We start from the raw sequence: 21,783 nt of genomic DNA on the forward strand, positions 1-21,783 counted from the left end.
ACTGGGGCCCAAAGAGGATGTGTGGGGAAGTGGGGAGACCCATCAGCCTCAGACCTGAGGTGCAGATGTGGGCATGTCTGGCTCCCCACTTCCTTCTCCTTCTTGGCCAGCTCTGGTCTCCAGATGTAGTGAGGGTTTGTGGGGTAAGTGGGGAGCTGTTTCCAGGGCCCATGGATTTGGAGGCTTCAGTGGCCCTGCTCACCACTCTGCAGAGCTTCTGCTGTGAGCTTGAGCCACTTCCTTCCTTCCCGGGCCCCAGCTCCTCACTTATAGTGGGAGGTGTGGGTGGGGAATTAAGCCTTCTAAGCCACCTGCAGGACCACCATTTAGCCAAATCACAGAGACCAGTGCATACCCTTGCCCTGACCCCAGCCCCACTCCCTCCAACCCTACCTTCCCCAAATCACTTCCATTATGAGGAACGGAGAGTGAGGGGCCAGGGGAGGTCGAAGGATGCTGTCCTCCTGGTCAGCACCTGCCCTGTGCCTGCCCTTGCCAGGGTCCAAGGACCTTCTCTTGTGACTGCACCAACAGCCTGCAGCATATCTCCCCCAGCAGAGCCCTTGAGGACCTAGTGTCTCTAAGTCCCAAAGTCAGGCCCGCCAAGGAAGGCACTCCAGCCCCTGACCAAAGCAGGGGAGACCTCAGGCAAATGCCACCCTGTTCCAGGCCTGTTTCCCCATCTGGAACCCCAAGGCTGGAACCAAGAGAGCTCCCAAGGCCAGAGAGTGTCCAGAGAGTGACCGGCCAGTGCCCACACTCCCTCAGAGGCAGACCCCTTTGTTCTCCCTGGGGGGCTCCTGTATTAGCTGTCTGTGGCTGTGTAACAAATAACCCCAAAATTTAGCAGCTGGGGACCAAAAACATTCATCATCTCACAGGTTCTGAGCATCAGGAATACCTGGATGGCTCAGCTGGGTGCCTTTGTCCCAGGGTCTGTCACAGGCTGTGATGAGCCTGTTGACTGGGGCTATGGTCTCATCAGAGACTCGACTGGTGTGGGGATGCTCTACTCCCAAGTCCATACATGTGCTATGGGCAGGCCCTGGTCCCTGGCCACATGGGCTTCCCCACAGGGCAGCCTCAGAGCATGGCAGCTTCCTTCCCCCAGAGTGAGAGATCTAATGGAGGGGGGACCCAAAGGCGAAAGCCATGGTGTTTAAAACCTGATCTTAGAAGTGATGTCCCATCATGTCTGCTTATCGTACTCATGAGAGGCCATCACTAAGACCAGCTCCCACTGAAGGGGAGGGGATTACTCTGGGTGTGAACACCAGGAGGCCAGAGTCTCCAGAGACCATCGCAGAGGCTGCGACTATGTCTCCTGACAAGTTTAAGGGATTTGCAAGATGCACTGGGGCAGGGAGGGGTCAGGTGTTCAAACCCACTCATAGACAAGAAAACCATTTCCCTGAGAGAGTGAGGCAGATGTGTGTCCAAATCACTTTCAGGATGAATGGAAGAGTCAGGGGTGGGGAACACCCTTGGCATCTTCTCCAGCTCCGTCTCTCCCTGCCCTGGTTCAGGGCTTTCCTTGCCCCCCTTCCCCTCTTTCCCTCCCTCCCCTTCCCCTCTTTCCCTCCCTGCCTACCCCTGCTCCTTCTTCCCTTCCCCTCTTCCACTATCCTCCCCCTTCTCAGTCTCTGAGTCTCTGTCCCTTTCCTTCCCCACTCCCTTTCTTCCTTTTCCTTCCCCCTGGCCCCTCTCCCTCCCTCCTCTGCATCTCTGGTCCCGGGGTCCTCCTCACTTTCTCATTTCCTTTCATTTCTAGGGGCATCTCCCTGTGCAACAGGCCCCAGGCCCAGGCTGCAGGGACAGCAGAGCCAGGCTGCTCCCACCCACCCCAAAGCCCTGCTCATGCAGCTGCCGCCAGCCCGGATCCCGCTAGGGGGCACCATGAGCTGCGGCTGCGGACGAGGGGCTGCTTTTCCCCAGGCGCTGTGGGCTTGGAGAGAAACCCTGGGCAGGAAGGGTCCTCTCTTTCCAGTCCTGGAGCCAGGCCACCTGGTGGGCAGTGCAGCCTTCACACTAGGACCGCGGGGCAGGGATGCCCGGGACCTCCGGCCCAGCCCGCCCAGGCCACACATGTGAGCGTCTAGCACAGCGGCCACCTGCAGGGAAGGCATAGGTCTCTCCCAGGAGGCTGTCAGCAGCTGGGAGGCCGGCAGCAACCCCACTCCAGGCCTGAAGTATCTGCCACCTTTGGCAGGCTCTGGGCCCCATGGAAAGGCTGAGGGGCGCTCATCCCGGGTTGCCATCCCCAGAACCGGTGTGACAGGCCCCACAAGCACGCATGTGAGTCAGCTCATGCACAGGAGAGCCTCATGGAGCCTGCCCGGCCAAGGTCCCCAACCCCAGACCCAGCAGCTGCCACTGCGACCACCCTGAGAGCTGTGACTGCACCCAGGCCTGAACACACATGCATGGCCTGAGATCTGGGGGTGTCCTCCAGAATGAGGTGGACCCAGCAGGGGAAAAGGCTTTGCAGGGAGCGGTCACAGCAGGAGTGCCCCACGTGCACTGAACCTGCCCTGGGCCCCACCTCTCTTCACATGGGTGATGGGGGGGGTGCCCCAGTTTTATGGGATCTAAGGTGAGAGCATTAAAGACGAACAGGCATGCGTGGACAAGATGTGTCCTGCTGAGACCCAGAGAAAGACATTGCAGCAGGTCCTGCCGGATCCCTACAACCCACGGCTGCGTCCGGGGGTTGCTGCATTTTTCATCGTGGAAGATTCTTCCTAAGCACCCTCCCTAGACAGGCACGCACGCGGCGTGGATGCACAGGCTTGCACCTGCTGCTCACACCCTTGTCAGCCCTGGCTACTGTCAAACAGGAACTCTTGGGCCGATGTCAGCAGCAAAAGGAACCCCACATCTCATTGTTTCATTTTGTAATGTAAAATTCTCTGGTCAAGAAACTCTTCAGATGTTTCTGGCTATTTTTACTGCTCTCCTGTGAATTGCCTCCTTGGAGCCTTTGTCCATTTTCCTATTGAGAGTTGTTTCAATTAATTTATAACTTTTTTGTTTATTAAGGGTATTGCTCTTTTGTCTATCAGAAACATTCAACTATATTCCTCCAGTTTGTTATTTATCTTTTAATTTTAGTCTGTGTGTGTGTGTGTGCGAGTGTTTGTGTGTGTGGCGTGTGTGTGTGCATGTGCATCTGTGTGTGTGCGTGTGTGTGTGCATCTGTGTGTGTGCCTGTGTGTGTGTGTGTGCGCATCTGTGTGTGTGCCTGTGTGTATGTGTGTGTACATGTGTATGTGTGTGTGTCTTTCAGCACTCAGTGGTCTCATGATCTTACATTGGTTATTATTTTCCTTCACGGCATCTGGATTTTGCATCTTGCTTGGAAAGCCTTCCCCATCTGAGGGTCCGGTATTTTTCTTCCCTTTTCTAATGCTCTAGCTATTTGTCATTTATTAAATCTTCAGTCCCTTTAGGGTATTTGTTGGGTATGAAATAGGAACTAACTTTCACAGATTTTTGCCAGATGGAAGATAGAACTCTGGGGTCTCAGTCACCGACAATGAAGGTGTGGCGGAAAGACGTTTCCTTAGAAACTACACCCGAGGCCCCACCGATCCCGGCTTTCACCTCAGCAGAGCAGCAACCGGACCTCTGTGTCTTGTGCCAAGCAGAGATCTAAACCTCTTGCCAGCTCCCAGGCAGTTCCAGTGTGTCCCTTCCTCTTGGAGATATGCAGACCTCAGGGAAGGGGTGCCGGGGGTGCCCAGAGCCACCATGGCCCAGTCCTCCCCCCTGGGCTGGACCCTCACCTTGGACAAGATTGGAAGAAATGGAATGGCCCCTGCTTAGCTGCGGGGGCTTCCAGAGATATTCAACTGGGTCACACCCAGCAGAGTCTGCAAGAGGAGGAAGGAGGTGCTGAGATTTGCCCAGCTTCCTCCCGGGGTGGGAAGAGCTTCTCTGGCTTTCCTCCTTCCTCCAAGGTGAGATGCAAAGACAGGACATCGAGGTTGTGATCACAGCTGTGACTTGGCGGCCTCCCGTGCCCCCAGCCCCGGGCCAGCTCTTGGCCTCACTATCACCTGTCCACACAGCAGCCTGCAAGGTGGGTTCCATGATCCCCACTTTACAGAGGAGAAAACAGAGGCTCAGAGATGTCAAGCAACCTGTGCAGGGCCACACAGCTTGTAGGGAAATTGAACTCACCTCAGGAGGTGGTTGAGACGATGGAACCAGGCAATAGCAGCATAGTGACCACAAGGGTTTGCACATAGTAGGCCTTCAAACATTTAGCCACCCTCTTCTTTCCCTCCCTCTCTTCCTGGCTTCTTTCTTGGTTCCTCCCTCTCTTTCCCAGGAGACTATACCACCATCTGAAATCCATGATGACAATGACAAGCAAACTCATGCCTTGAGACAGGATACACTACAATAGAGGAAGAAACGGGAACTCATAATGGACTGGCAAGCACTATTGTTTATGGACAAACTTCCCCTTGGGAGGCAAGTCCTTAGACAGGTACCCCCAGGAGTCCCCATCCCTGAGCAGCTCCCGGTCTAACCAGAGATTCACACGGGGGAAGTTTCTACCCGTAGGAAGCAGCTCTCAGCATGCAGGGGAATCCAGAGGGGCTTCCTGGAAAAGGGGGCTCCTGATCAGATAGTCAAGGATTTGAGGCATGATAGATGCCCAGAGGAGCAGGGTCGCATGGTGGGGTCTGTCTGGGAGGTGCCTACTATTTCCTGGCTGTGTGGGGTATGCAGAGCTGGAAGGAGAGGCCACCTTTTTAAAGCATATTGAACACAAAAGCATACACAACGTACTGTATAATTTCATGTATAAAAATGTAAAAACCACTTAAAAATAGTGTGGAAAGCAGAGTAATTGTCACCCCTGGGACAGAAGGCTGCCAACCGGAAGGGAGGTGTGGTGGGAGGTTTTCTGGGGCGTTGGCATGGTTCTGTTTCTTGTTCTGGGGGATGGCTAGAGGCCTGCACCGCTACTCTGTGAAAATTCAATATGTACACCTCCAATCCATGTACTATTCCACCTGTGTATTATACTCCAATAAAAAGTTGAAGTTTGTTGAAACAGGAGCTCAGGGGATGGGAGAATTTGAAGATTATTCTGGAGGCGGTGGGCAGACCCAGGCTTCTGAGCAGTTCGTGACCAGAGCTATGTTTTCCGAGGATGAATCTGGCAGTGTGTCTTGGATGGATTAGCGGAGGAGGGGGGTGGGCTGGTGAGTGCTCAGAGACTGTCGCCAGTGCAGGTGAGAGGTAATTCACAGCCGCCCTGGGGAGGAGATGCCGTGCCACGGCTGTCTGGGGCTTCATTAAATACCAGAAAGAGAAATGAACCAATTTCACAGCCCTGGTCTGTGACTTCTCTGAGGATGTGAAGTCAAAGGCTATGCGACTCAAGGCCAGTAGCAATCCGATTAATTCCCCAGGATAAAGCCTTTAATCTAACACATAACAGCAAATTCTTGTTATTCCATTAAAAACAATACCTCAGCCCCCACGTTGGCTCCCAGGGCCTTAATGAGACCCCTTCCCTGCCCAGGAGGCTGAATTGGTCCTTTGTTCTTCACAGCATGGGGTTCAGAAGATTGCTAGTTTGGTGGTAGGGCTGGTTGGGGACATTGGCACTGATGGGAGTGTAAGGCTGGATGTGACAAAAGCCACCGGGAGTTCTGGGTGACCTCAGCTGAACTGAAAGTTGGCCTCGCTTCTTGGGAGGAGAATGTGGGGGGTCTGCTGGGGCCAGGTCGTGGCAAGGTGCATGGTAGAAAAAGCCTTGTGCTGGGAGGTCAGTGCCCTGGGGTCTGTCCAGATCCCCACAGTGTCACCAACTCACTGAGTGACAGTGGGCCAGTCTTGTCCCCTCTGGCCTCGGTCTCTTCCCAAGTGTGTTGAGAGAACTGGCCTCTTGGGAAGGCCAGTTACTCATGGAATCAAGCTCCCTGGGTGCCAGTCCCCTGGTGCTGAGGACTGAGAATGACCCCAGACAGTAATGTGCTGGTTTGCCTAAACTTCTTGGATGAAGAAGAAGTGGAGAGAACATCCCTTGGCACTTGGAAGCAGCCGGGGAACACTTACAGTGTTACGCAGGGTGTGCCCTGGCGTCCATGCTCCTGCAGTATGGTGGAGGAGAGATACGTTCCACTTGGCCCCCCTACAGAAAATGACTTTTCACCAAAGGCGGCGGCATAAACGCTGCTTATCTGCCTCCCTGGTGTGCCCGGAACTCTCTTGATTTTAACTCCGAAAGTCTTGCATCCCAGAAAACTCAGTCCCAGGCAAGCCAGGATGGTTGGTGACCCTACTTCCAGTCCTCGATAAAAAACTGGGCACCCAAAGTGCACTGAGAGCAATTGCACCTGTGATGCCTGCAAGTCAGGTGCAAAGCAGGAGATACAAACCCATCCTGGGACCAGCAGCACCTGGAGGCTGAAATCACAGCAGAGAGGGGTGCCCCTGGCCACAGATTGCCTCCCAATTCGATCGTCAGAGAGGAGGAACTGGAGGTGCTCTCAGAATCCAGCCAAAGCCCAGTTGCTGAAGAGAACCGGACTGGCCTACAGACTCTGACTAGTGTTAGGATGTTGGCTTTGGGGGATCCGAAGGACAGATGCCCTTTCTATGCTGTGGGCTCCACTGTACTCATCAAACCCTCTTCTGCTCTCCAGAGATCAGAGTTAACAAGACGCCCTCCAGGAGGAGCCAGGGAGGAACTACCTGGCCCCGTGACCCCACCTGACTTCTGTAGCCAAACTCCAGAAGCCAGAGGGGCCAAACCAGGTTAGCACTCCCACCCCCGCCACGCCCCACTACCTTGGCTCTCAGGCGTAATTCTGACTGGCTGTGTGCCAGTCATGACCTTGGCCAGCCATGGCCACAGGGCCTGGCCCACTTCACAGGGCAGCTCGGGCTCCAGCCACCTCTGCTTCCAACATGGAGACAGGCCATCAGACGGCCACCAAGACAGGTCGCAGGCCTTGGACCTGAGAAATCACTTTCGAGGTAGTTTTATGGCAAACACAATTTCTGGGGCTGGAAGTCTCACCTCTGTTAATGAGGTGTCACTGGAGGGGTGTCCAGGACAGGCTTGGATGTCTGACAGGCACACACAACACCGAAACAGATGACACCCTGTATGGTGTAAAGCCAGCTCGGACGCCTCCTGCCTAATTCCCGGTGGCTGAGGGGACGACCTGTGGGAAATAGCACAAAGCAGTGACCTGTAAAATCAGGAGCCACAGGATGAAAACATTTTGTCACTGAGAAAATATGTTTATGCTCATTAGAACAACGTTTTTTGGGCTCATGTAGAATAAACATATTGGGTCGAATGTTGCTACAAGGTCTACATTTACAAAGAGGCAAGGAAGGTATGAAATTGCGGTCAGGAGCTGGCAAGCGTGAGAAATTACAGTGGGATGAGCTTCTCGCACTGCAAATTGGAAAATTCAGAGATGTGTGGCACGGCTGCGGAGGCCCAAACTTCTAAATGAAATTTATTATTTCTGTAAAATCTGGGAACAACATCTTCAGGGATAACAAATATAGAGAAAACATGATTTCAGCCTCGATATTTGGTCTCCTTGCAGACGGTTTTCATTAAAAAGGGCTTTATAAAAATGATAAAAATGTTACAGTTTGCTAAATTAAGTCTGAAGCAGCTCTATTTAATAATCTGGTGCATTTTAATCATTTTTTGAAAAGCCTGACATATTGAAAAGAACTTCAGACTTGAGCACCAAAAAAAGAAAAGGAAAAGAAAAAAAGGAAAATACTCTCAACTCATCTTGGGTTGTTTGTGCATTTCTAAACCTAAACTTGTCCCTCTCAATGGCAGTTAGTGCCAAGCGAGCAAGCATCTGTGACCCAGAATGCCAGACCTCCAGAGATTTTGTAGCTGTGACAGGGACCACATGACAATGGGTTATTTTTGTTCAATTGTCTCTCAGGAAACAAAGTCAAAAAGGATGGGTAATTACTCTGTTTCTACTTCTTGCCCCATAATGCAACATGCTTAGTAATGTGGGTACATAAGGAGGGAGGGCCTGGGGGGAGGCAAGAGGAAAAAACCGTAGTTTAAAGAATAGCATGAAGTTCTCCATGGAGTCTTTTGCCAAAGAACAGTGGAGAGGGCCTTCTGAGGGGTTCTCAGAAAAGGTGTTGGTTTGGGAGGAGGAAGTTGAATTTGAGAGGCCGCTGTGAGGAGCTGTAAGAGCAGTGAACTCATGCTACAGAAATCCAGAGCTGTGACATAATCTAGGGCTAAGGATTGGAAGCAGGGAAGGAAGGAAGGAAGGAAGGAAGGAAGGAAGGAAGGAAGGAAGGAAGGTTTGTTGAGAGAAGGGATAGGAGAATGCATGGGTGAATGGGTGAGTGGATGGATGCATGGATGGATAATGAGAGAATGGGTAGGAAAATGGGTGGATGGGTGGATGGATGAATGGATGGATGGATGGATGGATGGATGGATGAATGGTTAGATGGAGGGAGGGAGTGAGGGAGAAGGGAAGGGAGTGATAGTTGAGTGCATGGAGAAATGGTTGGATGGGTGGAAGAATAGATGAGTGGATAGACGGATGGATGGATGACTGGAATGGATGCATGGATGGATGGAGAAATGGCTGAATGCATGGAGGAATGATTGGATGTGTGGAGGAATGGATGAATGGATGGATGGATGGAAAGATGGATGGATGCATGGATAGATGGATGGATGGATATATGGATGGAGGGAGGGATAGATGGATGGATGGATGGTTGGATAGATGGCTGGATGGATGACAGAATGGATAAGAGAATGGATGGGTGGACGGGTGAGTGTATGGATGGAAAGTTAGATGGATGAAAGTTTTGGGTCCTGGTTGCCTGTCATGAAGGAAGGGCAGGTGCTTGTACTACCAATCCACCTGACACATGCCAAGCACTGAGTTCAGTATTGTGTTTCCTTGCTCAGTCTTCATCACAACCACGTCAATTTTAGGTGAGAAGATAAAGACTCAGAGCAGCAATGTGATGCAAGCAGCATGACACAGCCAGGTGGAGACTCACCTGGGCTTCCAAAGATTACATTCTGCTTTGGAATCCTGCAGCTTTCTCTGAAGCCATCCTCAAACCTGCAAATCTTTTTATTGTTAAAAATAATGCTTTTGGTTGATGGAAAGTTCTAGAACTCAGCTTTCTCGGTCTCTATCCTAGGATCTTTCTACAGCCTTATGATGTCCAGATCAAGGGCTGGGAAGCATGAGAGAGATGAGCTTTGGTGAGGAGTCAGTGGAAACGACATGAGGAAAAAATCCAGAAAATTGTGAATTGTGAGAGAGGAAGGTGATTGCAGCCAAGGTCCCTGGGACGGAGTTGGTGCTGGGCACAGGAGGATGGCCCCATATGGGTGGGGTCCAGGACACAGTGGATTAGAAGAGTGGAGTAAAGACTTGCTCCGAGAAGTGGAAATCCTTGTTTTTGGTTTTCTTCATGAGAAAGAAGATGGAAAGAGGTTCCCATGCTGCTGGATGGGAAGAGGTTCAGCCACAGGATACGTCCCACAAGACTTCCCGTATAGTGGGAGCAGTGGGGATGAAGCTGGAAGGCCTGGGCCAGCCCTCACCACATCCCTCCATGGGGGATGCCCTTGGAAAGCCACCCGACTTTCCTGGACCTCAGTTTCCTTCTCCCTAAAGTGGAGCCGACACTGTCTCCATGCTGGAGCCACTGCAAGGATGAAACGAGAGAGCGGATATGATTTGTCACTATCCATTTGTCACTGTCAAGAGCTCATTATGCAGATGGGGCCCAGGATCCTCTCCAAGCCCCAGAGCCTGCCTTTGTGCAACCCAGCCCAGAATCCACCCTCCCATCCCTACCCCTGCATCTACTCACCCTCCCCAAGCTGACTCTCAGGACCCTGGCAGCATCTGTGGGGGGAAGCAGACAAACCTCACCTTTGGCAAGTAGAGATGAACTGAGCCTGGAACAGTGTCAATCAGAGACCTTTCAGAAGCACCAGAGGCCATAGCTGGTGTTGAGGCCAAACCTGGAAGGGCTGCCCCTCCCTGGCAATAATGCTGCTGCACGGTTACCTCATTTGCCTTTGTTTTTCTTCTTTTTCCTTTTTAATTACCTTATTAAAGATTACTTAACTGCAAAGTAAAACCATCCCCAAGCTACTAAGTAGAATGTGACTCAGTTCCCAAGAGCAGGGTGGCCTGTGGGTGGGCGACTTCTGCAGGGATGTCACCCCTGGTCACCTGGAAATGGGGCTTCAGCTGAGACGAGCAGGAACATTTCCTCCAGTGCTGACCTTGCCTTCACCCCGTCCAGTGTCTGGGAGCCCCTCACCTCAGTTTACCCAGATGCAGATTCCGGTCCAATCAACACAGATAGAGGACCAGCCAAGTCCACGACTCCACATCATGCACTTGTAAACCGTCGACAGGTCACCCGTGAGATGAGAGTCTCCTCCCAGGTCTGGGCATTGCTAGGCTGGGAAACCTGTCTTCTGTCTTCCCTGACCTGACTGAGGAAAGTGTGGGGCAGGAAGAGGCAGGGCGGGCCTGTTGCTGAGGCTTTGTTCAGGGTCCACGCTGTATCCTTGGGCACAGTCATGGATCTACAGTTCCTCTGTGATTTTACTGAAAGGCCTTATGGTTCTGTCTCGTTCCCATGGCTGCCCAAGGGACCCTGTTAATTCAGTGCCTCTCTGGAAGCCAGAGATGACCTGTCTGCCTGCCTACTGGCTACCAGTTCAGCAGTCTCCGCAAGGCAGAAAGGAGGCTTGATTTCTGCTCCCAGGCCATCTGTTACCATGTTTCTTCTGGAATTTGGTGGGGAAGCACCAGGCAGCTTTGCCAGGGGACCTCCTGGGATGTTGATGATTCCTATTGGAAACCTTCAGCCTTAAATCTTGTTCTGTCCCAGAGGACTCCCAGACAGCTCTCCTGTCCCAGAGGACTCCGTAGGGTGCACAGCATGGGTGGAACAAAGGCCAAGGAACAAGGGCGACCCATCTGAGAGAGGCCCACAGGAGGCCCTGGGGGCCTGGAGAAGGAAAGGCCATTTCTGGCAGGGGCTGGGGAAGGCAAGAGGGTTTGAGGACGGTTTCTTGGAAGAGATGGTCTTTGAGCTGGGTCTTCAGGGGATGGGAGAGGTGCAGTGTCATTCTATCCTCACCCAGCAAGCACATCCACTCGGCCATACACTCCCCCAGGGGGACCAGCCAGGGAACTTGAGGGGCTTCTGGCAGCTGTGGGGGGCAGTGCTCACACAGGCTTCCAGCTCCCTTGGCCCCGCGACACAGGAGCTGCTGTAAGAACAGAAATTCTGCTCAATACCAAAGTTCTCTGTGCCTTTCCCCACGAAGAAGGCTCCAGTGGGTCAGTCAGACAAACCCATCCCAGGGGGCTGGGACACAACTTTACTAGAATGTCATTAAAAAACAACTTGTGTTAGTTTGTCATCTGTTATTACAAATCACTCAGCTTTCTGCTGCTACAAGCATCCCCGTGTCCAGATTTAATGAACTGCAGGGAGAAGTGGATGCCTCCCTCTCCCTGCAAGACGCCTTTCCCCATCTGCTAGGAAAGCTCCGTTTTGGGGCTGACACAGGCAGGCAAAGCCGAGGAGGGAGTGAGAAGTGAGGTCCCATCCCCAGCAGAAACCACATGGGCTCCACCCGTGTCAGATGTAGCTGGCTGCTGGCACCCTGGACCCTGAGTGAGACAGGTCTCATCAAAGCCTCGGCACCCCGGGGACCAGTGGCCATTGTTCCTATGCAGAGCAGAAATACTGAGCACCATCCACAGCTGGTTCCTGAAGCAGCAAGCCTCAGGTGCCAGAGGCAAACATCATGCTGCCTTGAAGCACCCCTGCCCTTGAACAGGGGTCTCCCCCAACTACGGCAGCTGCAGGCAGGAGTGCCCTGGCTGGTCACAGCCCTGTCCCTTCAGCCTGGTCCACTGCCATAGTGGCCCTCATTTACCCATCTCCTGGAGGTGAGCAGACAAGTGGTCTGGGAAGCCCTGTCTGCCCTGGGCCTAGGTGTACGAATCCTGCTGGAGCCCTGGCCCCTGGTGCCTGGCCAGAGGAGAGCAGCTGACAACCTACATGCACAGTGAGCACTGCCGTTTATGAGCGCAAGACACCAGGAGTGCAGCGGGCTCGGTGCTGGGGGCTGGTGGGGTTTCAGAGTGCCAGCGGGGTCTCATCACGCCTGAACCAAGTCATGACTCCTGCTTCTGGACTCCCACTGCTAGCGGGCTGGAGGAGCTGGGCGTGTGAATGGAGGCTTCTGCCAAGGGTGTTACCATGTCCTTCTGGGGCTGTGTGGGCACTTCCAACTCTGCAGAGTGTTCGTGCCTCAGTTTCTTGTTTCATTCTCAGGACAGCCACGTCAGGCTGGGGCTCACTAAGCCCTCTCCAGGGGAGACAGGGCACGTCTTGAGAGGCCACAGTCAGGCTGTGGCCAGCAAAGGAGGGGGTACTGCCCCGGCCTGTCTGCCCCAGGCCTGGATTTCTCCCGGGAGACCTTGCTGTCCCTAAGGGTTCCCGCTTGGGTTCAGGCACTTTTGACAACACCTTAGAAAGTCCAGCTCACGGAACGATTTGTCATCCTGCCCTAGACACGTACCTATTTCTCTTATTCCATCTCCACTGAAGCACAGGAAAGCACTTTCCTTGCAGGAAGCAGCCCCAAGAGGCTCGTTAGGAGGGCAGAGCGCCTGCCTGAAGTAATGAGCGGTTATCAGCTGAGCCATGCGGCCTGGCAGGGGGCTGGGCACATAAACGCTGTCACCTTGGTATCCACCTGCCGGCATTAGCATTCCCACCAGGTTCTCGGCCCCCTGCTGTGGGGCTACCACAGTCAGTGTGGCATTGGCTGCCGGAAGGCCCTGGGTGCCCAAAGCAGGTGGGAACGTGCACACCTGCCAGCGTGGGGGTGCCTGAGTGCCCTCAGCAGCCACGCAAGTAGTCTCTGCCCTGGGGGCCTGCGAGAGACACAGAAGGGGAGGAGTGAGAGGGTTTCCTGAGGTCAGAACCCCTGCAGCCCTCACCTGCCGCTCTGCCCAGAGCTGGGTTCCAGGCTGGGGGCTGTGCGCTTACAGACAGTCAGCACCTCCAAGCCCCACAGTGAGAGGCGGCAGCACCTCTGATGCCCGTGAACACTGGGACTCTGGGTGGTCTTGTCCCCGAGTCTGCCCCATAGGAAGGGGACGAAGAGGCAAGGCCAAGCCAGGTCTTCCAGGCCTCCCAGCCCACCGCCGGCCGGAGCATTGCAAATATCTGAGCTGAGAGGATCCTAATTTCAGTCTCTACCCTCTCTTCCCACAGCCCTGCAAGAAGACAGCCTCCAGGAATGAGGCATTCACTCCCAGCCCAGGTGCCCCTAAGTCTGAAGGTGAGGTGCAAGTTGGTCCATAGCCCCTGCCCATGTGCTCTGCTGCCTGGTGCCACATAGTGGGTGGGTGCTCAGGCCTGTGGGAGAGTAGGTCCTTCGAGGTGTGGTTATATACAGGGATGGAGAAAACACCAGAGCCAGGAGCCGGCCCCCTTAGGAAGGGGATGACCTCCAGTGCCCCCAGGAACCTGTCCCCGCTGTTCACTCCCAAACCTGGGAGCTGCAGGAGCACAGGTGGAATCCTGTTTTTTCTGGAGAAAGTGACTTTCGGCCTGATCCCAGGAGAGGGCAAACGTGCCAGAAAAACCTGCAGGGGCTCCCAGGAACTTGTTCCCAGAGGAAAGTGGGAGACAAGATGACCAGGTCGGAGGTGCTAACAGGATGCTGTCCTGGGTGCCTTGCTGGGTAGAAGGAGATGACCTCTAATTCAAGAACCTTCTCTGGCTCCTTCACCCCCTGGGAGCTTTGCAGACATGGGAGGGCAGTTCTCATGCCTGTCCTGAGCCCAACACCCCAGGCTTCCTGGCTCCAGGCTTCGACACATCTCCAGTCCTGAGACCCATTTCCATGTGACAGCGTGACCACCTGCTCTGGACAAGTTCCTGAGGCAGGTGCCCATATGTGGACGGACGGTGTCACCACCCTTCTGGGGGCCCGTGGGGCTCTCCTGCTCAGGCCCCTTCCTCTTGACAGGAGCCGCTGGCCTCATGCAGGCTGTTCCCGCCCCTCCTTAGTTCCCTCCAAGCCTCTCACTGGTTTCAGAGCCTGGATCGTCTGACATGTTTTCCCAACATTTGCTTCTCATTTCAAAGTGTAAACCTGGCAAGAGGCACACGGATCCCGTCAAAGAAGGTTCCGTGTTTTTTCTCCTCCTTATGTTCCTCTCAGCTTTCTGCCTTCTCCTTGCAAGGAAAAGTGGCTCTAAAGTTGATCTTGGGTGGTTGTTCTTAAATAACTGGGCCCGATGAGCTCCAAAGAAGCGAGTGGTACAAGCTTAAGTCTTTGGCAGGCTTTGGTTTCCCGTTGATTTTTCCAAAGATTTTCGTGCAGGGCGTTTTTTGGGCTCGTTAGATTTCTCTAGCCCTTGTTGACGGCTGTCCACGAATCACCACATTTATCATGGGCAGACTGGGGGCCCCACCACCTTTCCACCCTCCTCTGTTTACGGAGCCCAGCCACCCCAGCAGCTCGGAGCCCTGCCCCCCACCCCACCCCACTGCCCACCCCCTGGCAGGGCTGCGCCTGCATCTTCACCGTCTGCTGTATGCCGGGTTCTTCTCTTGGCATCCGGTGTAGACAGGACTTTGGGCTGTGAGTCAGAACTCCTCCACTTCCCAGCCAAGGTGGCAGAAAAGGAGAGGGGTGAGAGGATGCGGTCCCCAGGTTCAAAGCCCAGCTCCATCAAATGTAAACTGTGAGATCACATTTAACCTCACGGAACCTCCATGGTGTCATCTGTACAATGGGAATCATAACAGCACACATTACAGAACATTTCAGCAAAGATAAATGAGTGTCTGGCACAGGGCGAGCCACCCATAAAGGCAGGCACACTCGTTCTTTTCCTGTTTGTCATGCTATTCCAACACACAGAGCTTCCCAGTGCTATTCCAGCACACAGAGCTTCCCAGTGCTATTCCAACAAACAGAGCTTCCCAGTGCTATTCCAACAAACAGAGCTTCCCAGTGCTCTAATTTCTACTTATGTTGCTGGAGCCTCACACAAGGGGTGAGAATCTTGAGGGGTGAGTATTTCTGCAGGGCAAAGTGTTATTAAAACCAGGTGGACAAGCAATTAAGAGACAAACTCATCTTTAGCAAGCTACAGCAACTCTCCGAGCATGAGGTCTGTAAAGGGGTCCCCTCTGCTGCCAGCCTTCCAGGGGGCCCAAAGCAGGAGCAGGTAGGCATAAGGCTGGGGTGAGGGGAACAGACCCACGCCCACCCTTTCCCAAGAGGCTTCCCAAACAAACTGAGCCTTCATTCCCAGTTCCAAGGAAGCCAAAGGGCCCTTGCCCTGCCCCTCCACTGAGTCCAACTTAACTCATGACAGAGATGGGGAAACTGAGGCTGGGATGGCCCAGAGGCAACTGGGGAGCCACAGGCACAGCAGAAGGGCCACATCAGATGCAGGATCCCTCTAGCCAGCCGCTGGAGGCAGCAGCAACCTCCTTCACTAACTAAAGGTCAGACCAAATTGCCCAGGAAACAAAAGAGGTGCAGTTCCCTAACCTTTTGGGTTAATGAGGAGGAATATTTGATGTCATAAAACATTTCATTATGAAAGCAACCAGGAAAACCTTTCCTGAGGCATGGCCAACAGGCTTACCCAATTAGCAGGAACATGGCCCCACCCCCATCCTCACTGGCCCTCCCACTCCTGCGCCAAGAAGCCAAGCAGAGGCCTGGCCCAAACCGCAGCCTCTCGGCTGAGAAGGGTTGAGTGCAGGCCTCTGGCGCTCACTTGCTTTTTACCAGCGGCTCCACCTCCGCCCGTCTGCTTTTGTGCCTCACCTTGGGCTGGGCCCTGGGTCAGGGAGAGGAGTGGGATGCTGTTCCCTCCGTAGGGAAACTCCCGGGCTGATGAAGAGCAGGCTGGCATGGCTGGGCACAGATAAGTGCACAGAGGAATCTCCAGGGCCCACAGAGCCTGGCTGTGGCTCCAGGAGGGCTTCCTGGAGGGGGAGCTGAGTCTCCAGGTGGAGTAGAGACAGTTGGGTGGGGGAGTTTGCTGGAACCTCCTGGAAGCCAGGCCATGGGCTGTGACCTGGGCTCCACCTATCTGATGCCTTTCCACTCTGGGTGCCCCTACACGTCCTTTACCCCTGCGGCAAGAGGGGCCGTCTCTGCTGTTTGCAGCCAAGGACCTTGCTGGATCCAGGGAGTCTCCTACCCTCTGGAGACCTGGGTGCAGCGCTTTCTCCTGCTTGGCCTCTCTGTCTTCTCCCTCAGCTGCCTCCTCCTCCATCCTGCTCTCTCCCCACCCACAGTGGAAGACCCGGTTTCCCCAGCACCCTCTCCCTTCCACGTAAGCCCCCAGGCCCTGGTCCACGTCTTCACTGAGGCCAAGGAAAGAGAGAAGCCACCTTGGAAGGAGCGTGCAGTCCCCGGGCAGCAAAGGGGAGGAGAAGAGAGTGAGGCCAGGAAGGAATGAGGCCAGTGAGGAGAGGGCAGGTGGTCCTGAGCTCACCAGGCACCTTGAGGCTCGAGTCTTTGCTCTCTGAGGCCTTGAAGGATATCAGGGAAGCAGCGTGAACCTGCGGCGGGAAGAGGCCTTCCTGTGGGTCCCTGGGGTGGCGCTTCGTGTGTGCCCAGGTTGTACACCTGGGGTGTGGGCAGGTCCTGCTGGGTCTTGGCAGAAGCTGGGCAGGGATGCCCAGGCCTGTGCTGAACGCATCCGGGAGCAGCATAGCAACTCGCCTGTGCAGCCTCTGAGCAGCCAGCCTCCGAGGCCTCTCCAGCAGAGCTGAGGCAAGGCTGCCCAGCTCCTCCATGAGGGTCTTCTCGGGTGGATACTGAGAGCACCAAAGTGGCCCCATAGCCGAGAGGCTCGGTCCTGGACTCAGCCCCACCCCGGGTCCCGCAGCCTCAGTCTCCCTCTTAGTTCTGCGTGAGCCCTGCTGTCAGGCGCCTCCTTCCTCCGCTCCTCTGTGCCCCCAGCCTGGGGTCGGTACAGCCGCTGCTGGGGGGACTGCAGGCACTGACTCAGCCGGCCCCTCAAAAGCCTCTTGGGGCCCATGAGAGCTTTTCCCTCCTGACTTCCAGCCCTGTGGTCCTTACTCCCCACGGAGAGTCAGCTTGTGACAGGAGCTCAGAGGACCCTAGCAGTGACCTAGCCACAGCTCCCAGTCATGGGAGAGACCTCAGGGCCCTACGCTGTGTCTCCCTTCCTTCCAAGCCCACTGCTCATGGCATTTCCCTCAGGCCACCTCTGAGCTGAGCCCACCTGAGCTCACTTGCAATTATCTGTGCCCACCTGCACCCATCATGAGTCAGAGCCACTCCCTTCTCAGGCACTGGCCATACCCAGCGGTAAACAAAGAGTCTGTTATAAGCGAAGCAGTCTGGAAGGCCAAATGTCTTCTATATAAACTTACTTTCTTAGAAGGGGATTGAAAACACATTTGAAAATCTTTGTCCTGAATAAAAAATGCTCCGGCAGCTGTCTCTGGATGGGCCGTGTTGTTTGTGCCTTCCAATGATATCTGGACTAGACTATGTCACCCCACAGCCGACCCCAGTGCTGACCACAGGTCAGAGCAGGCCGTGGCTGGGCAGGGGGCAGGGGGCAGGGGGCAGGGGGCAGGGGGTGGGGGGCACAGAGTGGAGCGATGCCTGCCCTCCGTATATGTCGGGGCACACAGCCGCGCTCTCAGCCTGGCAACATGCACCCACCCTCATTTGGCCCCAACTAGCATCCGCAGCTTGTGTCTCCTCTCTCCCCTGCAAGTTGCCCCATCAAACTGGAAAAGGAAACACAGATGTCCTCTCCCACCTCTGTGCCTTTCCCTGCCCTCCCTTCCTCCCCTTTCCCAAGAAGCAATTTGGGATGGCTGTGGCCTGCTGAAGGCGGAGCAGCCCCAGAAGTCCAGGTCCACGGTCTGTGCATCCAGGGACACTGCCTTGGGCCATCACCATGTGGACATCTTTTTAATCCTCTGGGCAGTGAGACTGTGAGCTCCTGGGGAGGCGAAGGGCTCATTTCCTAACTGTGTGTTTTGGGGTTGGTAAAACGTGTGACACCTCATCAGCATGAGAATCGCTACAGGTTATCTTCTTCCTTTAAGAGATGGCAGACTCAGCCGGGCATGGCGGCTCACACCTGTAATCCCAGCACTTTGGGAGGCCAAGGTGGGCAGATCACTTGAGTTCAAGAGTTCGAGACCAGCCTGGCCAATATGGTGAAACCCCGTCTCTACTGAAAATACAAAAATTAGCCGGGCGTGGTGGCGGTCACCTGTAATCCCAGCTACTCAGGAGGCTGAGGCAGGAGAATCACTTGAACCCGGAAGGTGGAGGTCGCAGTGAGCCAAGATCGAGCCACTGCACTCTAGCCTGTGCAACAGAGCCAGACTCCATCTCAAAGAAAAAAAAAAGATGGCGGACTCCAGAGCTCAGAGAGCTTAAGCATCCACCTCTAGATCACACAGCAGGTGGCAGGGCCAGAACTCAGACTCCATCCTCAAGGCTCCTGCTCGTCCCCTAACTCTGCCCCGGACGGTCTCCTCTCTGAGTGTGAGACAGGTGAAGGAAGGCACCATGTTTATGGCAAGATCCTAGACCCCAGATCTCCTATCCCCACCCCCAAATCTGGACCTGGAGTCCGAGCTGCAAGCCTGCAGCAGGCCTCCCAGCAACCTGTGATTAATTTTCCTGTCCTCATTAATTCCCAGATTTCTCCCGCTCATTACAAGGTGGCAAGGCAGTGGGCAACGTGCTGGGGCCGCCTGCCTGTCTGGCTGTGAGAGCAGTTCTGAGAAGGCCTGGCGCTCCTCATTGCCTTGCCCAAGCTCAGATGGGCTCATTAGAGGGAATGGAATCGAGGATCCCAGGGTAGGTGGAGGCGTGCTGTCCTCCAGGGAGCCATGCAGGCAGGACTTTTCAGAAGGAAAACATCCCTGAGAAGCAAGGGGGTGCAGAGAACCCTGTTCGAGCTGGAGAGCGGGGGCTCCATTCACAGGGCAGCAGGGAGAAGTGGGCCAGGGCCAGGCCTCCAGGACATGGGAACCATCCTGGGGAGGGTTCTGGCTCCTTCCCCCAGTGTTGTATTGTAAGTGACATTTTCTTGGAAGAGCAGCCCGGGTGCCCTGCCCCAGCCACCCATCTCAGGTAGGGGTCTTGGCTGGCACTTGTTCTCCATCCCACTCCCGCTGTGGGCTGAGCCCATCCCCTCTTTGGTGAGTGAGACTCCGGCCTCCTCCCTGGCCTCAGTCTGCAGTCTCAACCCTGCCAGATCCTTGTCCGTTTGGGGCTTCCAAAGAGAGCCCTCTAGAACGGTCCTGGCTCCCCGTGCCCCCAGGACAAGCTCAATCTTCTGGGTTTCATGCTCAGCCCTCCAGGGCTTTGCCTGGGGCCTCAGGACTCCCCACACAGCTCAGCCTCCAGTCAAGTGACTTCCCTCCAGCCTCTTCCACTCATGGCCTTTGCTCATGCCATCCCGGATTCCTGGATCCATCTCACGAAGGAAGCACTGGACCACCTCCTCCAGCAGCCAGCTCTCCTGGGCACTGCTGGAACCCTGCTTGCTGGGCCCTCACCTACCCTTGATCCAGGCGTGCCTCGTGCCTGTCCTGGCCTGGTCTTTGCTGTGACTCTTTGCACACTTGTATCTCCACCCCCTACTGAGAGTTTCTCTCTGGATCCCTAACAAAACCCAGCTTACGCCTCATACACAGCAGGGGCATAATAAGCAATGATGGCATGAGTTGGCAAGGCCTTCTCACTACTCATTCCCTGGACATGGTTCCTGCTTCTGCCTCTCTGTGCTTCAGAGATAGCCCCACACAATGCACCCCTTTCCTGGAGGGCGTGGGCCACCTGCACACCCTTCTGAGCCTGGAAGATGGCATGCGCTTTCAAAGAGCCGAAACTGAGAGGAGGCATGGGGAGGTGACCCTGGCATCCTGCTTCCCCACTGCATCCCAACACATATGACCTTGATTTGGAGAAGCGGTGAGCTGGACCAGGACTGCCTGTAGGCCTGGCTCCAGCCCTAGATGTCAGCCACTTCCTCGAGGGCTTCAGGATCCTCATGCGAGCTGGGAGGAAGAGTCACCAACTTCTCGGGCCCCATCCTCAATGCCGTCCCGGTGTTCTGCACTGTGCCCCGCTCACACGGGGTGGGGGCTCAGGCTTGGGTGGTGTACTGGTTTCCCTGTGCTGCGGTGACAAAGGACCCACACTTAGTGGCTTTACAACAAAGCAAATGTCTTGCCTTACAGTGCGGAGGACAGGTCTGAAATGGACGGCACGTGCTGGGCTTTCTGGAGGCTGGAAGGGGAAATTCATTTCCTGCTTGTTCCAGTTCCTAGAGGCCACTCACATCCCTCGGCCAGTGGCCCTTTCCCCGCCTTCAAAGCCAGCAATGACCGGTCAAGCCTTTCCCACATCACGTGGCTCTGACCTTGCAATTCTTGCCTCACTCGTCATTTTAGGAGGACTCCTGTGATGACATCAAACCCACCAGGTGATCCAGGCTCATCTCTCCAACTCAAAAGATCCTCAGCTTAATCACACCTGCAAAGTCCCTTCAACCTGCAGGATCACATCTGTACAGGTCGAGGAAACGGCTTAGGTATCTTGGGAGACATTATTCTGCGGAGCACAACCTGGCCCTGCTGGGGAGTTGTTTCAGAAAGCCTGGAGGCAGCCAGGAGTGGTGGCTCACGCCTGTAATCCCAGCACTTTGGGAAGTTGAGGCAGGTGGCTCACGAGGTCAAGAGATCGAGACCATCCTGGCCAACATGGTGAAACCCCATCTCTACTAAAAATACAAAAAATTAGCTAGGCGTGGTGGCGGGCACCTGTAGTCCCAGCTACTCGGGAGGCTGAGGCAGGAGAATGGCGTGAATCCGGGAGGCGGAGCTTGCAGTGAGCCGAGATCGCACCACTGCACTCCAGCCTGGGCGACAGAGCGAGACTCCATCTCAAAAAAAAAAAAAGAAGGAAAGCCTGGAGACTTGAGCATGTAGGCCCACGGGCAGGCGCTGGGGACTCGGAACCACACCTCTGAGAAGGTGCTTCTGGAGAAAGCGCCAGCATGGGGAGGCACAGCCGGCAGGAGTGCCTGGTCAGTCAGAGCCGAGCGCGTCTTCTCTGAACCAGGGAGCAACGCCGCTGGAGACCACAAGGGCAGGGAGAGGAGCCCGAATGACAGGGGCAGTTCTGGAGGCCTGGCATCTTCTGGGAGCCCTGTGCCCGCAGGGCTCACACCACTGTGCCGAAGCCCTGTCCCCTGGCCGGAGACAGCCCAGTTGACCCCATGGCCACTGAGCAGCCATCAAAGTGGGGGCCTGCCAGGAACTCCCCTCCCTCCGTCTGTCCTGGTCCACCTCGGCCACGCTGACAGCCTTTCCTCACAGGGGTCTGGGTTTCCTTCGACCCTCATGATCATTTCAAGCAAACTGGATCTGTGACTTCTCAACCCAGGCACCTAAAAATCAACGTCCTCCATGGTGGCTTTATCTCTAATCTGATATCTCGTGTGTTGCAGGCATGATGTCCACCTAGGCAGGCCCATGGAGCCTCCCCATCAGCACTGCAGTTGGCCACAGGCAGGTTGTAGGCCAAGCTCGCCAGGCCTGGCGTCCTCAGTCTGCCTAGGGAATGTTCCCATCAGCTCGGGCACACACGTGTCTTTTCTGAGGTAAATTCTGCCTCTTCTGTCATTGACT

The 21,783-nt window shown here is 54.9% G+C and overlaps 4 annotated features.

Annotated features, from left to right (window-relative positions):
- Positions 1,555-2,188: an enhancer, noted in NCBI's record as "H3K27ac-H3K4me1 hESC enhancer chr14:101649452-101650085 (GRCh37/hg19 assembly coordinates)". NCBI's record gives its function as "activates a minimal SCP1, AML or CMV promoter by ChIP-STARR-seq in naive H9 embryonic stem cells {active_cell/tissue: H9 hESC(naive)}" and the evidence as "EXISTENCE:reporter gene assay evidence [ECO:0000049][PMID:30033119]".
- Positions 2,189-2,821: an enhancer, noted in NCBI's record as "H3K27ac-H3K4me1 hESC enhancer chr14:101650086-101650718 (GRCh37/hg19 assembly coordinates)". NCBI's record gives its function as "activates a minimal SCP1, AML or CMV promoter by ChIP-STARR-seq in naive H9 embryonic stem cells {active_cell/tissue: H9 hESC(naive)}" and the evidence as "EXISTENCE:reporter gene assay evidence [ECO:0000049][PMID:30033119]".
- Positions 12,444-12,967: an enhancer, noted in NCBI's record as "H3K27ac-H3K4me1 hESC enhancer chr14:101660341-101660864 (GRCh37/hg19 assembly coordinates)". NCBI's record gives its function as "activates a minimal SCP1, AML or CMV promoter by ChIP-STARR-seq in naive H9 embryonic stem cells {active_cell/tissue: H9 hESC(naive)}" and the evidence as "EXISTENCE:reporter gene assay evidence [ECO:0000049][PMID:30033119]".
- Positions 16,400-17,218: an enhancer, noted in NCBI's record as "H3K4me1 hESC enhancer chr14:101664297-101665115 (GRCh37/hg19 assembly coordinates)". NCBI's record gives its function as "activates a minimal SCP1, AML or CMV promoter by ChIP-STARR-seq in naive H9 embryonic stem cells {active_cell/tissue: H9 hESC(naive)}" and the evidence as "EXISTENCE:reporter gene assay evidence [ECO:0000049][PMID:30033119]".

The sequence above is a fragment of the Homo sapiens genome, chromosome 14 (assembly GCF_000001405.40).
Source record: "Homo sapiens chromosome 14, GRCh38.p14 Primary Assembly".
NCBI lineage: Eukaryota > Metazoa > Chordata > Mammalia > Primates > Hominidae > Homo > Homo sapiens.